The sequence below is a fragment of the Homo sapiens genome, chromosome 11, assembly GCF_000001405.40.
Source record: "Homo sapiens chromosome 11, GRCh38.p14 Primary Assembly".
Taxonomy (NCBI): domain Eukaryota; kingdom Metazoa; phylum Chordata; class Mammalia; order Primates; family Hominidae; genus Homo; species Homo sapiens.
The window spans coordinates 89839149-89863667 of record NC_000011.10 but is presented as its reverse complement, the minus strand read 5'-3'; the positions used below and the strand labels follow the sequence as shown (position 1 = coordinate 89863667).

The 24519-nt window shown below is 37.5% G+C and overlaps 2 pseudogenes, besides 2 other annotated features; both read right to left on the bottom strand.

Moving 5' to 3' along the window:
• On the bottom strand, positions 597-10828 carry TRIM51BP (tripartite motif-containing 51B, pseudogene; annotated as a pseudogene).
• Positions 2002-2997: an enhancer, noted in NCBI's record as "NANOG-H3K27ac-H3K4me1 hESC enhancer chr11:89593839-89594834 (GRCh37/hg19 assembly coordinates)". NCBI's record gives its function as "activates a minimal SCP1, AML or CMV promoter by ChIP-STARR-seq in primed H9 embryonic stem cells {active_cell/tissue: H9 hESC(primed)}" and the evidence as "EXISTENCE:reporter gene assay evidence [ECO:0000049][PMID:30033119]".
• Positions 2998-3993: an enhancer, noted in NCBI's record as "H3K27ac-H3K4me1 hESC enhancer chr11:89592843-89593838 (GRCh37/hg19 assembly coordinates)". NCBI's record gives its function as "activates a minimal SCP1, AML or CMV promoter by ChIP-STARR-seq in primed H9 embryonic stem cells {active_cell/tissue: H9 hESC(primed)}" and the evidence as "EXISTENCE:reporter gene assay evidence [ECO:0000049][PMID:30033119]".
• On the bottom strand, positions 12404-21675 carry TRIM53BP (tripartite motif containing 53B, pseudogene; annotated as a pseudogene).

The following is a 24519-nucleotide window of genomic DNA, read 5'->3' as shown; positions in this document are numbered from 1 at the left end:
AACTAACTAAATTTTTCTTCTTAATTGTTACTTTTTTGTCCTGGTTAGGAAATCTTTCTGTGTGAGAATATTTTATTGTGTTCCCTTCACCTTCAGAACATGAATCCATGTGGAAATGCACTGTGTATGGTTTGAGGTAGGGGTCAGTATTCAGTTATGTCCATTTGAATATTTAATTGATCCAGCATTGTCCTGATCCCCTTGTAAATTTCACTGTAGAACAGCACTCTAATAATGCATGAGCATTTTGTATGTAAGATGAGATTTACAAAGATAAGCACAGCATAGGAGGTCAAATAAGATTACCTCAAAGTATAGGTTCATAAATAAAACACATGGATAAGTATAATATTGTTAGATGAAGAGAAAGAAAATATTTCCAGGTTACCATTGAGTCTTTTTACTCCAAGTTTTTTCATGAAGCCCAAGATCTCTACTTTCTTCCATTGATTTTAACTTCATTTAGACAACTCTGTCATCTATTATTTCACTTTGTGACATTCAGAAATAATTAAAAACCAGAGAATATATTCTATGCCATACATCATGGGTAATGATTTTCCAAAAATGATTTAAAAAGGAACCAATACACATGGTTTTAGTGTTTTCACCATATTTAATAGAAACACTATAAATGAGTTTTGATGACATTAGAATGCAACTAAAGACATTAAATGTAACTTATTTGTCCCGTTTGATGAGGTGCGAAAAAGAGGGCTTTCTGGGATAAACAGGTTCCCAGAGCATATAGACACATTTCTGACTTTTCTCTGGTCAGAAGTGACTACAGCAAAAGATAGGCCTGAGAGGAGGTGAGAAGGAGCAATTAGGGATGGTGTATATCAGGGAACTTTGATCAACACCAACAAAGCTCATGGTTCTACCTTCACAATCCAGGAATAATCCTACTGTGCTGGTAGGTCTTGGAACATATTGCACCACAAGTGGGGAGGTGGTAAAGAGACTGCAGTGAGTGTCCTCCTTAACACATCCAAGAAGAAAGAGTCCCTCCTCTCCATCTATCTTGTCATTCTGTCTCTTCTCTTTCCGATAATTGTTACAGACACCAAAAGCCCAATTCCAAGAGTCCCCCACGTGAACCTCCCAATAATATTTGCCAGATGTGAAAGCCGGAGCCCCCCATACAAGAAAACATTCAGATTTTGCAGTGATATCGGGATCATCTTGAGGGTCACATCCAACATTCATGCTTCTCAAATCTCCATACAGGAAGATATGACTATTGGTTCTTTCAGGCTGCAGAGTAAAATCAACTGCAAAAATAATTTTTAAAAAATATAGATACATGTAATTAATAGAAATTAGAATTCTTGAGGGAAAAGTTGTTCTACCAAGAGTTTACTTTACCAAGAAATTTGAAGTTACAAGGACAGGAGAATTGTGACTACAACATTTAATAAAGTATAAGGATGATTAATATTCTCTATAGGAAGAACAAAACCCTAAAAACAGACATTGAAAATTTATTGAAAACTTAAAAATTGAGAGTCGAATATGAGACCAGCCTGTTTTAATCCAGTCTCCAATGTAAAAGTGAAATATTTTATGCCCTGAATGCCCTTTAGCTATCAAGGTCATTATTATTAAAATATTTCTTGTTCTTAAATACTAGTGATATAATTTTGGCAAGAATGGGAAGATTTTAGCTTCCTCAAGCACCGCTCTAGATAACTGGATAAAAGTCCATATATTCAAATTATAAGTGGTAATTTAAGGCAGATTTTTGCAAAATCTTTTACCAGTCACTTTGTGGACATCCCTGCCAGCTCTAGACTGAAACCGAATTTTAGATTTTACACGTAGCTCTTCATGTTGTAACTAAACTGAAATTATCATTTCCATTTTTACTTCCTATTTACGTAATAATTCTTCTTTCTTTTTACATGTTAAATCAAAATTTTACATTATATCAATAATATATATTTATTGTAAGAAAGTACAAATACTCCAACAAACTGCAGTGAACTCTATTCTCTAATGAAATGTGTTTAACAATTCAAATGAAATACAGTAAAGAAATGTAAAATTTTTTTTTTATTGATTTATTGATTTATTGATCATTCTTGGGTGTTTCTCGCAGAGGGGGATTTGGCAGGGTCATAGGACAATAGTGGAGGGAAGGTCAGCAGATAAACAAGTGAACAAAGGTCTCTGGTTTTCCTAGGCAGAGGACCCTGCGACCTTCCGCAGTGTTTGTGTCCCTGGGTACTTAAGATTAGGGAGTGGTGATGACTCTTAACGAGCATGCTGCCTTCAAGCATCTGTTTAACAAAGCACATCTTGCACCGCCCTTAATCCATTTAACCCTGAGTGGACACAGCACATGTTTCAGAGAGCACAGGGTGGGGGGTAAGGTCACAGATCAACAGGATCCCAAGGCAGAATAATTTTTCTTAGTACAGAACAAAACGAAAAGTCTCCCATGTCTACTTCTTTCTACACAGACACAGCAACCATCCGATTTCTCAATCTTTTCCCCACCTTCCCCCCTCTCTATTCCACAAAACCGCCATTGTCATCATGGCCCGTTCTCAATGAGCTGTTGGGTACACCTCCCAGACGGGGTGGTGGCCGGGCAGAGGGGCTCCTCACTTCCCAGTAGGGGCGGCCGGGCAGAGGCGCCCCTCACCTCCGGGACGGGGCGGCTGGCCGGGCGGGGGGCTGACCCCCCCACCTCCCTCCCGGGCGGGGCGGCTGGCCTGGCGGGGGCTGACCCCCACCTCCCTCCCGGATGGGGTGGCTGCCGGGCGGAGACGCTCCTCACTTCCCAGACAGGGTGGCTGCCGGACGGCGGGGCTCCTCACTTCTCAGACGGGGCGGCTGCCGGGCGGAGGGACTCCTGACTTCTCAGACGGGGCGGTTGCCAGGCAGAGGGTCTCCTCACTTCTCAGATGGGGCGGCCGGGCAGAGACGCTCCTCACCTCCCAGACTGGGTCGCGGCTGGGCAGAGACGCTCCTCACATCCCAGACGGGGCGGCGGGGCAGAGGCGCTCCCCACATCTCAGAGGATGGGCGGCCGGGCAGAGACGCTCCTCACTTCCTAGATGGGATGGCGGCGGGGAAGAGGCGCTCCTCACTTCCTAGATGGGATGGCGGCCGGGCAGAGACGCTCCTCACTTTCCAGACTGGGCAGCCAGGCAGAGGGGCTCCTCACATCCCAGATGATGGGCGGCCAGGCAGAGACACTCCTCACTTCCCAGATGGGGTGGCGGCCTGGCAGAGACTGCAATCTCGGCTCTTTGGGAGGCCAAGGCAGGCGGCTGGGAGGTGGTTGTAGCGAGCCGAGATCACGCCACTGCACTCCAGCCTGGGCACCATTGAGCACTGAGTGAACGAGGCTCCTTCTGCAATCCCGGCACCTCGGGAGGCCGAGGCTGGCGGATCACTCGCGGTTAGGAGCTGGAGACCAGCCCGGCCAACACAGCGAAACCCCGTCTCCACCAAAAAAATACGAAAACCAGTCAGGCGTGGCGGCGCGCGCCTGCAATCGCAGGCACTCGGCAGGCTGAGGCAGGAAAATCAGGCAGGGGGGTTGCAGTGAGCCGAGATGGCAGCAGTACAGTCCAGCTTCGGCTAGGGATCAGAGGGAGACCGTGGAAAGAGAGGGAGAGGGAGACCGTGGGGAGAGGGAGAGGGAGAGGGAGAGGGAGAGCTGTAAAATATTTAAAGAAATTTATTCTGAGCCAAATATGAGTGACCATGGTCTGTGACACAGCCCTCAGGAGATCCTGAGAACATGTGCCAAAATTTTTATGTAACCTTGGATTATTACGCTTCCTTCTGAGCATTGTTCCATTTATTCAATTTTTTATTTCTTATGTCATTCCATTTACCCAATATATAACTCTATACATGTGATCCCAGAACATATTTGTTTTTCACTATGTTTTACTCTTCATGTTATAAATTGGTCTATAAATAGAAACACAGATATAAAAGGGTTGCATAGTCATATGGTTCACTTCCTGCTGAAATGAAATAAAGATTTGATGAAGGGTAAAATATTACCCCCATGATTCTAACAAGAAGTAATACACTGTGGGAATTCTGCCAATGGGCTGACGCTCACCTCTGAATCCACTGAGCCTGTCCAGCAGTCCAGTGATGGGCCCTGCACTGAGCTCTGGATTCACAGGCTCAGACACTTGCAGCAGCGGGGACTCATACCTGCAAGGAGAAAGATACAGTTACCACATCTACATCCAAAAAAAATACATAAAAATCACCACTTTTATTTAAAAGACATTTCATGAGAATCCCTTTAACCCACACATTTGCTAATTCCAAAATTATCATTTTATTTTTCAAATCCATTCTTATTCACAGTTCCTGATTTTCAAGCACGATGGAAAAGTCTATCTGACTGAGAATTCATTCGGATCTTTCTTCGTATTGCTCCAAATTAGTAAGGATCATTAGTCTTAAGACTGGGAGAATATTGAAAAATGAAATTCTGGGTTCCAGACCTCACCAGAAATTCCTGAAATCACTGTCTGGAAAAGTGGGGTTATTTTTAAGACTGCTGCATCTGTTGCTTCCTTCTCAAGGCCAGGGTGTTGAAACTTGCTCCAGGCAGGGAGATCTGCCTTTTATAGTTGAGGTTCTCTGGAGGCCTACACGGTTCAAACATTCCAAATAGTTTGTTTCATCCATTTTTCAGAATTATATATTTAAATATAAACTAGAAATCATCAACACTTTTCACTGCTAAGATACTTTCCCCTCTTCTCTCTGGCTTCCCCTGGTTGACTTTGTAGCCATGTAGTAAATGTAATATTTTCTCTTTCAAATATGAAGGCTTTTGAGCAATAAAAAGGAAATTAGGAATAGAGATGCTCACTTCCTTGATTTTTCTTTCATTTATTTATTTTTTGTTTTATTTATTTATTTATTTATTTATTTATTTGGTTTTGCAGAACTTTCATTGAGCTGCTTAATAAAGTCACTGAGTATGGCAACAAAATAGATGACTACATGGGGGTGGGGGATGGAGAAAGTACAACCAGCACAAGGCAGTGTCACTATCTGAATCCATTATACCTTCAATATCAAAGTTCCTGCTTGATATTTGTGGAAACTGAAAGCATCTGCTAAAATCTTGGTATGCACTCCCCTGTGTAATATGTCTCCAAAAGCCTGTAAAAAAAAAAAAAATAGAAAGGCTTAGTGCTTTCCACAAGACGCATCTTCCACTAAGTTCAGTGTGAGATTTGGAGACAGTTTCTGAAGATATTTTCCTACAATGTTCCCTCCTGGAAAGCATTCTCTGTTTCTTTTCTCATGAAAATCCCAGTCTATCATATGTCATGAATTAATGTCCTGATAAAGTCTAAGTCTTGAAGACATTCTCTTTACAAGTGAAGGGAGAGGAGGGAGGCCCACAGAGTCTATGCTCTGTGGTAACCATAAAGAAGCTACTCAGTCATCTTCCCTAAGCCCTGTTACCAAAATGAGTGGACCCCAAAATAATATTAGTGTGATCCTAGATTCCCCAACTTCTCCATCATGCCATGTCTCCAAATTAGCCTAAATGCCAATGAATCACTTCTCATTTTATCCACTTTCAAAAATCCTAAATAAATCACTGACTTTTGATGGGAAATATTTCTTGGGGCTGTCTGTTACCTTAGCCATTCTACAAAGTTTTGTTGCTGGTGGATAAGGTAGGAGGGACCTTCGGTCTAGTAGAATCACTAGGAGAGGCTATACCTTCCCAACCAAGTAGCATTAGTTATCGAATCATGTTTTTGGAAACAAATAATGGAAGTGAAGGGGGAGACGGATTTCAGGAGAGAGGAAAAACACCCATGTATGTGAATGTTCAACATCATGATACCCCATGGTCAGTCCGTACCAGGAGTAGCTCCACATCTGCTTTATGGTACATTTGCTTCAGATCCTCATACATTCCTCTTAAAAGCTCCCTGGGATGTTCCATTCTGGCTTGGCTTTCATTGAGTTGCTGAAAAATGTCCTCGCCCTCCTTTCGCAGCCTCTCCAAGTGATGTTGCTCTTCTTCATGGAGAAATGCAGGCATCTTCTGATATTCAGCTCTGATTGCTTCTGTCCTTAAACTCACATAATCCTGCAGTGACAATTAGTCAAAATAGAAATGTTTTATCCATCTTCTCTTGAATTTCACTGATTCCTCTTAGCATTCTGAACACCCAATATTTTAATCCTCAATCTTGTCAAGTCTCAGATTCCACAAAATTTTATTCCTTTCCTTTTTTTTCTGTACTAATATCAACATAGTTGTTTCTGCCCAGTTACATTTACTTGATTAATGATAAAATGCTTTCTAAGATAGTTATATAAAAATGGATTTCTCTCTTCCACACCACATTTATAGAAAGAAAACACAGTTCTTGCTTAAGAATCAAACTATCGAGTTATATTGACTAGGTAAGAAACCATTATTTCTATTTTGGAGAATTGGGGCAAGTTATGTAAAACCATTATACGACAAATGATGACATGACCCAGACTAGCATTGTCAACTCAATGCATTTCACCCAGCATAACATATTCTAATAAGGTTTCATTTATTCTCTTCCAAACTCACACTAATCAGCAACATGGACTTTTTTGTGGTTCCTCAAACCCCCAAATAAATGCAAATTAAATATTACTGCACATGCTGTTTTCTATACCTAGAATTATTTTCATATATACATATATATATATATTTCTCATATATGTACTCATATATATATTTCTCAAATATAGGTATATATGGATATATGAGGAATATATACGTGTATCTGTGTGTGTGTATATATATATTCCTCAAATATATCCATATATATATATATATATACCAACACCCAGATACACATACATATTCATATATTTATGAAGAAGAGGAAGGCAAACAGGAGGATATGTATATTTCCTCCTGATCAAGATTTTGTTTCAGTGTGAATTTTTCCATGAGCCTTTTTTCTGACCACCCTATTTAAAACTCAAACCCTCAGCCCCAGTCCCTGGCCTCTGTGCTCCTTTTCTACTTTCCTGCTTGATTATTCTCCAAAGACACTACTACACTCTAACACATCATGTACTTCACATATCTGCATGGTGACCATTTGCTTTTCTCATTTCCATTGCAAGATTTGTGTGTTTTCTTTCTTCTTTAATCCTTAATTTTCTAAGTTGATATTTGACATAGACTAGGTACTCATAAAATATCTTTCAATGAATTAATATTAGAATAAATTAATGAATTAATATTAGATATCATACCCTCAATATAAACATCCACAAAGAGAAAATCATTTCTAGAATTCTTCTCAAGTCCTTAGAGTTCTCCTTATATTAAATACTAGTTCCCATATTTCTCACATATTTATGTCTTCATCAAGACACAAGTCTACATTTCTCACCACTTTTCCCATTATGTGTTATGACTTACTCAATATTAATTAGCGCTGATATTTAATTTCATGCTTTCCCTAAGGTTGTGCTCTTGCTCCTTCTGCCTGAAATTTAGCTCACATTTCAATATAGGTGCCCACCAGGATTCAAATTCATACTGACTCAGCCTTAGAAGGGTCACCTGAAATTTCCATGACTGACAAATAACACTTGTATCCAGAATTTATCCAGGCAGCCCATTGGGAACAGTGTGAAATGGCCCAGTTTCTTGTATTTGTTGGGGGTATTGCTATAGGTTTGTATGGAAACAGATGAGCATGCTTGGGTAACATCTGTGGTCTGATTAGACATCCTACCAAAGAGTCACACTAACTTATATAAAAAATTAGGGTGTTTTTTTCTCAAGTGTTTTTTCCTTGTTTATTGAATTCCAGAAACATTATGGGTTGAGATCAAGTTCCTGTTTTAAGAGTCACCCATTTGTTCACTATAAGTTCCTGCAGAAGGTAGAGTAATACGGTACTAACCTTCCAGCATCTGGTTCTGGTGGTTTCTGTGTTCAGGTTTCTGAGATTTTCACAAGCTTTTTGCCATAAAGACTGCATTTTTTTTAGGAGCTCCTCCTGCAAAAGAGCCATGAATTGAAGCACAAGTGAGGACAATAAAGTATCACTCACACTCTGATATACGAAGGACCCAAAATGAGAGACAAATTAGCCCACAGAAAATAGAGTTTGCTTTGTTTCTCCTCATGTTTGTCAAATCTGAGAGGTGTGAAGTCAAGGAAGCTCATAACAGACATGCTTAAGGGGACACAGAGATGGCATCATCCAATCTCCAAGGAAATAGACTTACAAGAATTTCATGTGTCCTGTATAGAAATAGATCTTCAGAGGCATCACTTACCCGGCGTTCCTCAGCAGCCCACTCAATGGGACAGTGTCTGTGATTCCGGTGCTCCTGAGAGTTGGAGCACAGCCAACAGAGCCGGCTCTTGTTCACTTCACAGAACATCTTCTTTGTCTCTCTGTGCATCCCACATATTTGCTCCTCAGAGCTAAGGAATTGCCAGAGGCTGGCTTTTCTGGCAGTGGAAGCCATGTTCTTCAAACAAATGTCAGTTTTGAGGTTTCTCTGCTGTATTGTCTTCTTGCATTTAGAGCACTGAGCAAGAACTGCCATGTCTCGCCAGTTGAGGTAGAAACAGGGCCGGCAAAAGTTGTGCCCACAGTCTATGGTGACTGGGTCTATGAAGTAGTTCATGCAGATGGGACAGGTGAGTGCCCTCTGGAAGACTTGCAAGATTCCAGAATTCATGTTTCTGATGAAGAAGAGAGAGCAGCATGTCATTTTGGGGTCTGGGTTGGTGAAAATCTGTGAACATGTGGTGATATGTGGTAGCTATATTTTCTTCTTGACAGTGCTCATTAAAGCGGAACAAACTATTTCCTCTGTAACAAAAATGAAAAATTCATACACAAAGAGAGTCCTTAGGCTTTTTAGCAGGCACTACTGACTAGATGACTCGCAACCTCTTCTACTCGTAGTTCCTGCCCGCAACATAATGCAAATCTGTTCAAAAACCTATTCCCTGGATGTCGATATGAAACTCGGGTTTTAATCTTAAGTGGTCTAGAATAAAACATGCTTGTCCCTATTTCTCTTTCAAATAACTACTGAATGACTATGGGAGAGCAGTAGAAAACCTACATTGGGTAACAAAACATGAGAAGATGGTCAGAGGGCGCTATGACATATTTTTAGAGAGAGGGACCCAGAAGCCGGCTCTTTAAAACAAAAACAACCCCAGAACAAACCAACCGACCAGATAAACAAAAACACAGCAATTAAACCAGTCTAGGATCACTAGGAGATAAAATAAATAATGAAAAATATTGGGTTTATTTTTCTTATGGCTTAAATTAACTTCTTCTTTGGGCTACTCCAACTATGAACTGACATATAGTCAGTTTTTTAAAAACTGAAATATATATAATTATGTTACTATGGTATTATGGTTAATTTTAGGTGTTGACTTGACTAGATCAAATAATACATGGAGAATTGGTAAAGCATTATTTCTGGGTGAGTCTGTGAAGGTGTTTCCAGAGAGACATGTAAGTTGGTGAGCTGAGTGGGGAACAGCAGCCCTCAATGTGGGTGGACACTATCCAATCAGCTGGTAGCTCAGACTGAAGATAAAGGGCAGAGAGAAGGCAGTTTCCTCTCTTTCTCCTGAAGCTTATTCTAACTCAGCCAGGATATTGGTATCTCCAGGATACTACCTTAATGACAGCCTATGTTCAACTTCTCAGACTCCATAATCAAGGGAACAAATTTCCCTAGTGGACTTCCTCTCCTGTACAGTGTCATGTGTAGAGTGAGGACAGATATATGATCTGAGGGACGCATTAGACAGTCTCCTTATTGTTTGAACATCATAGGGTACACTTACACAAACCTAGATGGTATAGCCTACTACACACCTATGGTATACAGTATAGCATATTGTTCCTAGGCTACAAACCTGTATGGTATACGATAGGCAATTGTACCACAATTGTAAGTATTTTTGGTATATATATATAGTTATGTACACATCCTATGGTTCTGTCTCTCTGGAGAACCCTGACCAATACAAACTGTAATCTTTGCCTTGGCCGTTTGAAGTCCTTTACCTTACTCTCTTTTACTAAACACTGTTGAATTTAAGTGCCAACAGTGAAAATTTAAGACTTGCAAATATTTTTCAGAGGTCTTCTGAGCCATTTCAAGGAATTTTTCATAGTTTCATCTGAGGTAAGCCTCAATTAAAATGACAACTAGTATCAAGTATCAAATCATTCCTTATACAGTTATCTGCTAAACAATTGTGTTTTGATTTCTAAGCTAGGGCATTTTGGAGAGCATTCTTATTTCCTTTAGTATCACCATTTTTAACTCACCATTGCCTCAGTAACTTAAAATCATGTCTAAAAGCTTAAGGTTATGAAAGCACAACATTTACAGTATTCAATAATTATCCTTTTTTACTTAATTAAGTGTACCAATATTAGTACATGCAGTACACATATATATGTTTTAATGTGAATTCCATATATTCATGATGCATACAAATCTATTGCAGCAAACACTAGATATCTAAAATTTTTCAAAAATATATTAAACACTTTTGGAACACACAAAATGACAACAATTAATAACCTCATGTCATAAAATGAATAGCAATACTATGAGTTACAAATAAGATCATTAAGTAAGTTTAGTCAGATATTTTTATCACTGTAATTTACTATTTTAAAGGAAGAGAGAAATAATTTTCTCCATATAAGTTGCACTCACCCCAAGGTTCTATGAATGTTTCCTGCAGTAATTCTTCCAAGAAAAAGTTCTTTTAAGTACTCCCCAAGATCAGGAGCTCATTCCTTGCAGAGTTGACTTTCAGAGGTCACCTGAATGCAACTAACTCGAAGTGCTGTCCTCCTCTGGAGAAATATGAGCTTGTCTCTTCTACTTCCTTTTATGTGAATCTTTGAAGACCACACCCACCTCTTTAGTGATATTTAGGGTATTAAGAAAGGTGGAGACAGCAGAGATGATTAGGTTTATGCAATATTTAGTACACGCCTTTTCATCACTGATTAAATTAGCATCACACTATCATTGTAAAAACCACTGCCTGAATGAGGCATATCTATCATCAATCTTATCAGAGTAAATATGCTAGAAATTAACTAAAATTGATTAATACTGTTTCCTGAGTTTCTTCCCAAGGCACAAGCATTCCTCTAAGTGCACATTTATTTATTTATACCAAAGAAAGTTTCACCCTCTGGAATGCAGTGGCACAATCTTAGCTCACCACAGCCTTGAATTCCAGGGCTCAAGTAATCCTCCCACTTCAGCTTTCAAAGTAAAAAAGACTAGAGGTTTATGCCATTGCACCTAGCTAATTTTTCATTTATTCATCAAAAATATTTTTAAAATTATTAGGTGATTACATGTGTTACAGTGACCAGCTGGATTAGAATTAGATTAGGTTTAAAGCGATGGAAAGAATCTGGGAGAGGGGGCAGAGTGTTGGTTGTTAATTAGCACATGGATCAAAGGAGATTACTGATGTGTTTAGAAGCCACAACATTGACAGGATAAAAGCCGGAACTAACAATCCAATTGTAAATCTCTTCACTGTGGTATTTTCTGCCATTTCTGCTCCATAAGACACACCTTAACCACTTTGTCATGGTATCTGCAGTATTCTATTTTAGTCTAAATAGCATTTTCTCTCAAATGCATTCTGTTTCTCTCTCCTTCATCTTCCCTCCCTTCTTCCTTCCAGCTGTATTTTTTCACTAGAGAACACTAGTAGAATGTTCTTCCAAATTTCAGATTTCAGATACGCATCTGTAAAATAATCTTATGGAGACACATTTTAGTTGCTACTGAATAATTGGTTGTTTTCATAGGTTCACAGCATTACTACTGTCCTCCAAAAAACGGTTTCCCATTTCCACAGCTAATCTCATCATTGACTCTGCCATCCAAGTTTATTCTATGCCACTCTGGAAGAATCTGGAAAAATACTTAAAATACATTTTAAGTATTCATCATGCACATGTATTGTATTTCATTTTATATAGTTCGGGTGAATCTCTTTCTCCACTAATTGTTTGCATCTCAATTCTTGTATCATGTTTTTTGAAACACAGAAGTCGTTATTAATATAAACCGACTAATTTTTTTAATTGTTAATTTTTGTCCTGGTTAAGAAATCCTTATGAGAATATTGTATCAGGACTTGAATCTTCAGGACTTGAATCTATTTGGAAATGACTGTGTGTGTTTTGAGGTAGGAGTCAATATTTAGTTGTTTTTTAAAATTCAATTAATCCAGCATTGTTCTGACCACCTTGTGTATTTCAATGTAGAAGAGCACACTAATGCAGGATTGTTTATCTATGTGGTGAGAATTCCGAAATGAAGCCCAGCATGGAAGATCAAATAATATTAACTCAAAGGATAGATTAGTAAAATGAAATGTGATGGATAAGTGCAATATAGTTAGGTAAAGAGAAAGAAAAACATTTCCCAGCTATCAAGACTTCACTCCAAGCTTTTGCATGAAGCAAAAGATCCCGACTCTCTTCCATTGATTTTAACTCCATTCAGACATGTCTGTCATCTATTATTTCACTCAGTGGCAGTCAGAAATAAAGAAAAAAAAAAAAACAGAATATACTGTATGCCATGATCACGAATAATGATTTCTCAAAAATTAATAAAGAACCAATACATATACTTTTAGTGTTTTTACCATTTTTAATAGTAACACAATAAATGAGTTTTAATAACATTAGGAGGCAATTCAAGACATAAAACAGAACCTATTTGTCCTGTTTGATAAGGCACAAGGAAGAGGGCTTCCTGGAATAAAGGGATTCTCACAGCAGATGAACACATTTCTGATTTATCTCTGGTCAGAGGTGAATACACCGAAAGATAGGCCTGAGAGGAGGTGAGAAGGAGCAATTAGGGATGGTGTATATAAGGCAGCTTTGGTTAACATCAACGAAGCTCAGTTCTAGCTTCACAATCCAGGAATAATCCTATGTGGCTGGTAGTTCTTGGGATATATTGCAGTGTAAGTGGGGAGGTGGTAAAGAGACTGCACTGAATGTCATTCTTGACACATCCAAGACTAAAGAGTCCCTCCCCTCCATATATATTGTCATTCTGATTCTTCCCTTTCCAATACTTATTACAGACACCAAAGGCCCAATTCCAAGAGTCCCCCACATGGACCTCCCAGTAATATTTGCCAGAGGTGAAAGTCTGAGCACCCCATGCAAGAAAACTTGTAGGTGTTGCAGTGATATGGGGCACATTTTGACGGTCACATCCAATACACATGCTTCTCAAATCTCCACATCGGAAGATATGACTGTTGGCTTCATTATGAGGCAGAGTAATATCCACTGCAAAATAAATAAATAAATAAATAAAAGAGAAAGAAACAAAACATGCATAGACATGTGTCAATAAGCAAAAATTGTTCTATCAAGAAGTTAATTTACCAGGAAATGTAGAGTCACAAGGACACTTTTGCTTCTAACTTCTAATAAAGCATAGAGATGATTAACTACAAGACAAACAAAACACTAACCACAGGTATTAAAAATGTTTTGAAAACTTACTTATTGAGAGCCAAATGTAAGACCAACTTCTTTCAATCCAATTTTCAAAGCAAAATTTGCACATTATATGCCCTAAATGCTATGCTATTATCAAGATCATTATTTAGAAATGTTTCTTATTCTTAAAAACTAGTGCTATCATTTTGGAAAGAATGTGAAGATTTTCAGTTACTCAAGAACTGCTCTTGATGACTGGATAAAAATCCGTAAGTACATGTCGTAAGTGACAATTTAAAGCAGATTTCTGTAAAATCTTTTACCAGTCTCTCTGTGGTCCTCCATGCTAGCTTGGGGCTGAAGCTGGATTTTAAACTTATCATGTAGCTCTTCATATTGCAATTAAACTGAAGTTCTTCTTGTTTGTAATTTTACTTGTATTCACAAAATGGTTTCTTCTTTTTATGTTTACCCATTAACTATTTTTTTTTGCAATACATGATACATATCCATTTAAAAAATTAAAAACCCTCAGCAATCCCCAGTAAACCATAATCCCAAAAAAAGTTCTTAGCTGTTCAAATGAATACACTAAGGAAATGTAAAATTTTGTATTTAACATTAAATAACTCACCTTCATTCTGAGCATTGTTCCATTTGCTCCTTTTTTAAATTTGCTACACTACTCTTTTTTCCCATTACATTACTCAGTACATATGAGGCCAAAATGTATTTGTTTTTCACTATCTTTCAAACTTAATGCTATAAATCTGACTATACAGACACAGATACAAAAGGGTTGCATGATTATGTTGTTCACTTATGTCTATAAAGAAGTAAAATATTTGATAAATGGTGAAGTATTACCCATGTGGTCCTAACAATAATAATATTTAGATAGTGGGAGTGCTGCCTGTGGGTGGAGACTTACCTCAGAATTGGATGAGCCTGTCCCTCAGTCCAGTGATGGGCCCTGCACTGAGCTCTAGATTCAGAGGCTGGGGCATGTGCAGCAGCACGGACTCACTCCTGGAAGGAAAAACCTGCAGTTACAACATCTACAGCCATAAAATAAACAAAAACCACTATTTCTATTTAAAAGACAGTTCATGAGAATCCTTTGAATCCACAAATTTGATTACTCAAAAATTATTCCTTCCTTTTTGGAATTAATTTCTATTTACAGTTTCCAAATTTTAAAGCATAGTGGGAGAGTCTGAGTCAGAATTCAGTCTGATCCTTCTTTTTTTTCTGCCCCACATGTGTAAGGTTCCTTAGCCTTATGGCCTTGAGAATATTTGGAAATGAAATTCTGAGTTCCACTTCTTGGCAGACTCCCCTGACATCTTTGTCTGAAATAGCGGGGTTCTGGGGAGACTGCTGCATCTGCTGCTTCCTTTTCAAGATAAAGAATGTGAAACTTGTTCTAGGCAGCTAGATCTGCCTTTTAGAAACAAGCCTCCCTAGAGACTTATACAGTTCTAATACTCCACAGTTTTTTCAACCTATTTTTCAGGACTGTTAACTGATATGTATGTAGGTATGAACAACAAATCATCAACTTTTTCACTGCTGAAATACTTCCCCCACTTCTCTCCTGCTTCCTCTGGTGACTTTCTCACCATCCACAAAACAAAACTTTATCTTTCACCTATGCAGGCTTTTAAGCAATAAAACAAAATCAGGAATAAACATTTTTTTTTATTTCACTATTTATTTATTTATTTATTTAGTGTTCTTGTCTTTTCTGGTGTGAGAGTGAAAGCAGATGCAAAAAAAAGGTAGAATCAATATCTTAATCATTTATGCCATGACTTTGGTAGAGCCTGCTTTGATATTCATGGAAACTGAAAGAATATATACTAAAATCTAGGTAAACACTCACCTGTGTAATATGTCTCCGAAACCCTGTAAAAAAAAATAGAAATATGTAGGACATTTCACAAGATGCACCTTTCACTAAGTTCAGTGTGAAATTTCGAGTCAGTATCTAAAGATATTATTTCCCTACCATCTGGAAAGCATTTTCTGTTTCTTCTGTAATGAAAATCCCAGTTAGTCGTTTTGTCATTAATTAATGTCCTGGTAAAGTCTGAGTCTTGAAGACATTCTCTCCAGAAGTGAAGGGAGAAGAGGCCCAGAGAGTCTATGCTCTGTGATAACTTCAAATAACCTACCCAGTCATCTTTCCCAGAACCTATTACCCAAATGAGTGGACCTCAAAATAATATTGATGTGAGCCTAGATTCCCAAAACTTCTGATCTTGCCATGTCCTCAAATTAACCTAAATGTAAATGAATCACTCACTATTTTATACATGTTAAACAACCCAAAATATATTATTGACTTAGATGGGGAATAGTTATTGGGGCTGTCAGCTTGACCATTCCACAAAGTTTTGTGGCTGGTGGATAAAGTAGGAGGGACCTTTGGCCTGGTAGAATCCCTTGGCGGGGCTATACTCTCCCAACAAAGTAGCATTAGTTATGCGAATGTGTTTTTGGAAACACATCATGGAAATAAAGGTAGGGAGATGGATTTCAGCCATGAGGAATATACTTACACATGTGAATATTCAAAAACCTGAAACCACATTGTGAGTTTGTACCTGAAGTAGCTCCACATCTGGTTTATGGCACATTTCCTTCAGCTCCTCATACATTCCTCTTAAAATCTCCCTCCTATGAGCCATTTTGGCTTTACTTAAATGAAGTTGATGAAAAATATCTTTCCCCTTCTTTTTCAGCATCTCCAAATTATGTTTTTCTTCTTCATGGTGAAATGCAGCCATCTTCTGATACTCAGCTCTCATAGCTTCTAGCCTTAAATTCACATAATCCTGCAGTGATAATGGGTTAGTCAAAAGAGAAATGTATATATCCATCTCCTACTAAATCTCACTGATTCTGTTTGTCACTCGAACATCCAATAATTTAAACCTCAGTCTTGCTGGTTCTTAGAATCCACAAAATTTTGTTCATTTCCTTTCTTTCTGTATAAAAATCAACATAGATGTATCTGACCAATTACATTAAATTTATTCAAGATAATGTGTTTTCTCAGATAGTTGGAAATAAAAAAACACAATTTGAATTTCGCTATTCCAGCCAATATTTATGGAAAAGTAAGAACAGTTCATGCTTAAGAGTTGGAGTATAGAGCTATAGTTACTAGAAAGGAAATAATTATTTCTATTTCTGAGATACGTAACAAGTTGCTTAAACTCATTATATGTGAAATGACCTTAGACTAGCATGTCCAGCTAAATGCATTTCACCCAGCAAAACCTATCTTAATAAGGCTGCATTTATGATTTGGCCATCTTTGTCTCTCTGAATTCATTTCCTTCCATTCTTTTTCTAAGTTATCCCATTCTGAAACATAGACTTCTTTGTGGTTCCTCAGGCCTCCAAATATACACAAACTCAAAATTACTGCATATGCTGTTCTCTCCAACTAGAATTTCACACACACACACACACACACACACACACACACACATATACATATATACACGTTCATGGTCCACATATATGTATATACATACACACATTCGTGTTCCCTCTCCTCTTCAAAATTTCGTTCAAATTGAATTTTTCAGTGAGTCTTTTTTCTGACCACCCTATTTAAAAATCAGACACTAATCTCCAGTTTCTGGCCTCTATTGTCCTTTTCTACTTCCCTGCTTGATTATTCTCCAACAAAGAACCTACCACACTCGAACACATCATGTATTGCACATATTTGCATGTTGACCATTTTTGCCTCTCTCATTTGGATTGTACGATTTGTGAGGACAAAGATGCTTTCTTTCTTCTATACTGTCAAATTTTCTAATTTAATATTCAACATAGACTAGGTTCTTATGAAATACTTTTCAAAACACTAATATTAGCTATCATACCCTCAAAGTATACATCCACAAAGAGAAAATCATTTTTAATATTTCTCTGAAGTCCTTAGAGTTTTCCTTATATTTAGATACTAGTTCCCATATTTTGAGCATGTTTGCGTGTCTCCCTCAAGACACAAATCCATATTTCTCACCACTTTTCTCATCATATGTTATGTAGTATTCAATATTAATTAGTTGAGATTCTTAATTTCATGGTTGCCCTAGATTTCCCCTGTCACTCTTTCTGCCTCAAATTTTCCATACAATTCCAAATACTACTTGTCCACCAGCATTCAGATTAATGCTGACCCAGGCTCAGAAGGTTCACTTGAGCTTTCCATGACTGCCAAATGAATCTTGTGCCCAGCATTTATCCAACCAGCACATATAGAATGCTGTGAGATGGCCCAGTTTCTGGTATCTGTTGGTGTATAGCTACAGGTTTGTATGAAAACAAACCAGCATGCTTTGGGTGACTTCAGTAGTTTTCTTAGAAATCCTTTCTAACAGTCATACTATTCTATATAAGAAATGAGGTCACTTTTTCTCAGTGTTTTCTTTTTTTTTTTTTATTGACTCCCAGAAACATTAGAGTTTGATAACAAGTTCCTATTTTAAGAGTCACCCATTTGCCCACCATAAGTTCCTGGAGAAGGTAGAAGGTAGAGTAGTACAGAACTAACCTTCCAGTGGCTGATTCTGGTGGTTTCCACATTCAGGTTTCTCTGATTTTCACAAGCTTTTTCCCATAAAGACTGCATTTTCTTTAAAAGCTTCTCCTGCAAAAGAGCCATAAATTGAATCACCAGTGAAAACAATAAAGTAACATGCAGACCGTTTCATAGGGAGCGGGCTGAGAATGAGAGACAAGTAAGTCCCTAGGAAATGGCATTTCTTCTATTTCCCTTCTTCTTCGTCAAATCTCAGAGGTTTGAAGCTAAGAAAGCCCAAAAGTGAGCTGCTTAAAGGGACTCAGGTTTGGCTTTACCCAATCTCCAGGAAAATAGACCCACAGGAATTTCATGTGTCATTTATAGAAATAGATCTTCAGAGGCATCACTTACCCGGTGTTCCTCAGCAGCCCACTCAATGGGACGGTGTCTGTGATACCGGTGCTCCTGAGAGCTGGAGCACAGCAAACAGAGCAGGCTCCTGTCCACTTCACAGAATATCTTCTTTGTCTCCCTGTGAGTGCCACACATTTGCTCCTCAGAGCTCAGGAATAGCCAGAGACTGGCTTTTCTGGCAAGGGAAGCCATCTGCTTCAAATGAATGTTAGTTTTCAGGTTTCTCTGCCATGTTGTCTTCATGCATTCAAAGCACTGAGTAAGAATTGGGATGTCTTGCCAGTTGAAGTAGAAACAGGGCCTGCAAAAGCTGTGCCCACAGTCTATGGTGACTGGGTCTATGAAGTAATTCATGCAGATGGGGCAGGTAATTTCCATCTGGAAGTCTTGCGAGATTCCAGAATTCATGTTTCTGAGGAAGAAAGAGCAACATGTCATTTTGGGGTCTGGGTCGATGAAAAGTTTCGGAACATGTGGAGATACCTGATAGCCCTATTTTCTTCTCTTGACAGTATTCATTAAAACACAGCACACTATTTATTCTGTAACAAAAATAAAAATCTCACACAGAGAGAGTCTCTCGGCTTTACAGTAGATATTACTGACTAGATGACTCACAACCCTTTATACTTTTATTTCCTGTCTGTAACACAATACCAATCTATTCAATTTCCCGTTTTCTGAATGTTGATCTGGAAATTGGGTTTGATTCTAAGTGGCCTAGAATAAATTGTAGTTGTTCCTATTCTTCTTTCATGTAACTGCTGAGTATGAAAGACTGGGAAAAACTGCCTTGGCCAAGGAAATATGAGAAGATGGCTAGAGGGTCCTATGGCATATTTTTAGAGACACAACAGTGGGGCAGCAAACCACCATGGCACATGTTTACCTGTGTAACAAGCCTGCATGTCCTGCACATTTATCTTAGGACTTAAAATAATATGAAATTAAAGTAAAATAAAAAACCAAACCAAAACAAAATAGAAAAACCAATCAACCAACCAAATAAACAAAAAAACAGCAATTAAACCAATTTTGGTTTAATAGAAGAGAAAAACATAATTAAAGATATGGGGCCTTTTTATTTTCTCGTGGATTATATTAACTTCTCCTAGGGATACCCAAACTCTGAACTAACATATAGTAGGATTTTTGTTAAACTCAGAGAGGTGTAATTACATCTCTATGGTGTGATGGCGAATTTTAGGTATCAGTGTGACTGGATTAACCAATACCTAGGGAACTGGTGCAGCATTGTTTCTGGGTGAGTCTGTGAAGGTGTTTCCAGAGGAGAGAGACATGTGAGTTGGTGAGCTGAGTGGGACCATCATCCCTCAATGTGAGTGGGCACCATTCAATCAGCTGGTAGCTCAGATAGAAGGAAAAAGCCAGAGAAAAGGCAATTTCCTCTTTCTTTCTCCTGAAGCTGGTTCTGAGGCTTTCAGCCTTGAGCTCAGTCAAGATACCGGTATCCTCAGGACATCAGCTTAAAGACAGCCTATATTAGAACTGCTCAGACTCTATAATCAAGCAAACGAATTTTCCTGATGAATTCCCTCTCAGGTAGAGTCATGTGTAGCTTGATGACAGATATATGTTCTGAGAAATGTGTAAGGAGGTTTTATTTATTTACTTTTTGAGATGGAGTCTCACTCTATCATCCAGGCTGGAGTGCAGTGGTGCAATCTCGGCTCACTGCAATCTCCGCCTCCAGGGTCAAAGCGAGTCTCCTGCCTTAGCCCCCTGAGTACCTGGGATTACCGGAACACCTCACTACACCTGGTAAATTTTTTCATTTTTTTTTCCTTTTTTTAGTAGAGATGAGGTTTCATCATATTGCCCAGGCTGGACCTGAACACCCGGCCTCAAGTGATGTGCCTGCCACAGCCTCCCAAAGTGCTGGGATTACAGGCATGAGCCACTGTGCCCAGCCAGGCGGTTTTATTGTTTTGACATTATAGACTATACTTACACAAACCTAGATGGTATAGCCTGCTACACACCTATGGTATACAGTACAGCCTGTTGCTCCTAGGCTACAAAACTGTACAGCATGTTCTGTACGGTATACTGTAGGCAATTGTAACACAGTGGTAATTATTTAGTATGTAAACATATTTAAATACAGAAAAGGTACAGTAAACACACTGGTATTATAATCTTATGTGACCACCATGTGTGGTTTATGGTTGACTGAATTGGCTCATGAATGTATCTCTACATGTATACATATACATCCTATCATTCTGTCTGTCTGGAGAGCCCTGACTAATATATAAACTATGGTCTTTGGCAATTTTAAGTCCTTTTCTTTACTCTCCTTTATTTGATAACACTGCTGAATTTTAGTGAAAGAAATGAAAAATCTTAGAATTGTAAATATTCTCCAGAGGTCATCTAAGTCATTTTAAGGAATTTTTCATAGTTTAATAAGATTAAGACTCAAGTGAGATGGCAACCACCATCACGTATCAAATTATATCTTATAAATTTATTTGGTCAAAAAACTGTTTTGATTTCCAAACCAGGATGTTTTGGGGAGCTTTCTCATTTTTTTCAGTTTCACTGTTTTGCATCTCTCATCATTACCTTGCTAATTTAAAGTTATGTCTAAAAGCTGAATGAATGAATTAACATTCATTAATGTCTTCTCAATTCAATTGTTTAATATTAATGCACTCATTACACATATATTTACACACACTTATGTGCACATATATGTATTAATATCAACTCCATATGTTCATTATGCATACATATCTGTTGCAGCAAACACTAGATATTTCCATTTTTTCAAAACTATATTGAAGATAGAAAATGCAAAATAACAACAATTAGTATCCTCATAATTCATAAAATCTATAGTAAGAATATGAATTACAATGGTATCATTGTGTAGATTTAAGATAATGAGATATTTTTAACACTCTAATTTATTATTTTATAAAGGAAAGAAGATATAATTTTATCAATATAAGTTTCACTCACCGCTGGGTTCTTTGAATGGTTCCCACAGTGATTCTTCCAGAAATAATTCTGTTAAGTACTCCTCAAGTTCTGGAGCTCATTCACCGCAGTACTGACTTTTAGAGGTCACCAAAATACAGCTCCCTCTAAGTGTGCTCCTTCTCCTTTGGAGAAAACTGAGCTTGTCTCTTCTATGTCCTTTTATAAGAATCTGTGAAGACCACACCCACCTCTTTAACAGGGTGGAGTATTGAGAAAGGTAGAGGATAAGACGATTAGGTTTATGCAGTATTTAGAACACACCTTTGCACCGCTGATTAAATTATCATCACTCCTTCATTCCAAAAAACCGTGACTGAAGTGAATCATATGTAACATAAATCCTATGAGATTACACATACACTAGAAATTAACTAAGATGCATTTTATACTGTTTATTGAGTTTCATCCAAGATGCAGGCATTCCTCTAAGGGCATATTTATTTATTCTAGAGAAACTGTCTCCTTGTGGAGTGCAGTGGTACAATCATAGCTCACTGCAGCCTTGAATTCCAAGGCTCAGGGGATCCTCTTGCTTCAGCCTCCCAAGTAGCTAGGACTACAGTCTCACACCATCCCACTTGGCTAATGTTTTTTAAAACTTTTCATAGAGTCAGGGTATGGCTCTGTAGCCCAGGCTGTTCTCCAATTCCTGTCTTCAAATGATCCTCTGGTCTTGGACTTCCAAAGTGCTTGGGAGTACAGGCATAAACCACCTCTTCCAACCCTAAATGCTGCTTTAGTACATTTATAGGCTATTCCCAGAGAAGTCCAACAGGAAGATAAAACTTTTTTTATTTTCCACCACTCTAAGAGAAATCACTGATTAACCAAATAACCCCACTAATTTGAGGTCTCTTATTGAATTTACAAAACTTTGCCAATCTCATGGGTGAAATATAAATTATTATTTTAATGCTTTTCTCCACATAGTGCATGATGTTGTATGATGACTAGAAATGCAATGTAATAATTTGGGGATTATAAACAACTTTTAGGACGTAGGCTAATTCACAAATACAGAATCCAAATGATAGGGATGGATTATATTTTTCTTTCTATAACAAATATTTTTGTTGTCATGTGACAATTAAAAAAAGAAGAGATTTCAGAAGCGGCTACTCAAACATTTTCTGACAGAGGAATTCTTTGCCAATAGCCCCCACAAGACTTATAGTCAAGAGTGCTTATGTATTTTCTCAGCTTATTTTATGTTTAACCACATACAAATCATGGAGAAAATGTATCTATGGTTATGTGCAATAGTCCCCCTTATCCACATTTTTTCTTTTTTCTTTTATATATATAATATATAAAATATTATATATAATATATAAAATATTATATATAATATATTATATATAATATATAAAATATTATATATAATATATTATATATAATATATAAAATATTATATATAATATATTATATATAATATATAAAATATTATATATAAAATATAAAATATTATATATAATATATTATATATAATATATAAAATATTATATATAAAATATTATATATAATATATAAAATATTATATATAAAATATAAAATATTATATATAAAATATAAAAAAAAATATATATATATAATTGTACTTAAAGTTCTAGGGTGCATGTGCAATGAGAACACAGTTTTTCTTTCTGAGGTTTGAGTTACCAGGGATCAAAACCTGGCCAAAAAATATTAAATTAAAAAAATCTACAAATAAACAGTTTCTAAGTTTTAAGTTCCCTGCTGTTCTGAATATCATGATGAAATCTTTTTCAGTCCTACTTTGTCCCACCTAGGACATGATTTATACCAGCACAATCATCAGTAACCTCTCAGATATCAATTTATTCAACTGCTATGGTATGGCAGTGCTTGTGTTGAAGTAATTCATTTCTTACTCAATAATGTCCCCAAATCACACAAGTAGTGATGCTGGTCATTCAAATATGCTAAAGAGAAGCCATAATAAAGTGCTTCTTTTAAATGAAAAGGTAAAAGTTTTCTACTCAAAAAGAAATGAAAAAAAATATGCTGAGGTTGTGGGTTGAATCTTTTACTCATAAAATTGTGAAGGAAGAAAAACAAATCCAAACAAGTTTTGCATTGCATTTCAAACAGCAGACGTTACAGCCGCAGTGTATAATAAGTGCTTATTTAAGATTATAAAAACGGTCGTTAAATGTATGTAGAAAGCATGAACAAGAAATGTGTTCCAATGGATGGCAACATGTTTCCCCAGAAAGCATTGAACCTATATGAAGATTTTAGCAAAAGATCCCCTAAAACAAGTGACACTAAGCCATTTACTGCAAGTAAGGACAGTAACACAGATTCATGAAAACAGAAGGTCAATAGTAGCCTAAAGCTCATGTCAGTGCCTACATCATTCACCTCATTTCAATTCATCATGTAGTTAACGTATCATCTCACATCATCATCAGCTGTATATTCCATAATCATTTACATTCAACATGTTGCGTTTTATCTCTTCATTTATTCCATATCTCAAAACCTGAGGAACAAGGTCATCTGTCTGGGATTTAAGTTACAGTATAGGAGATCACCTTAAATAATTATTTATTCTTGTCTATAAGAAAATATTTCCATAATCATGTTTTTCTTGATTTACAAATCTTTCATGATTTTTTTTGACTATTACTTTATTTTTATTTTCTATGCTCTCATCTGGATTTCTACAATAGGTATCTAAATGTCTTTCTGCCTTCAGAATAGCGTCTTTCCAACAAGCACTCTAACATTCTCAGTCCCATGGGGAGACCACGAGGTCACATTCCTTTGATCCAATTTTACCCAGTTTCTGGCAATTCCTCCAATGCACTTCATGTTCTATCCTTTCTCATCAATTGGACCTGTGAGTCTTTGCCTGAAAAGCTCCCCCCGTCTGGGCTCAATAGAGTGTCTTTTAAGTATAACCCATGGAATGTCTGCCTTGGGGCCCGTGATTGACCTAGCAGCACTTCCTCTGGGCTTCTCTAGTCCCTGTGTATTAACAATTTATTTTCT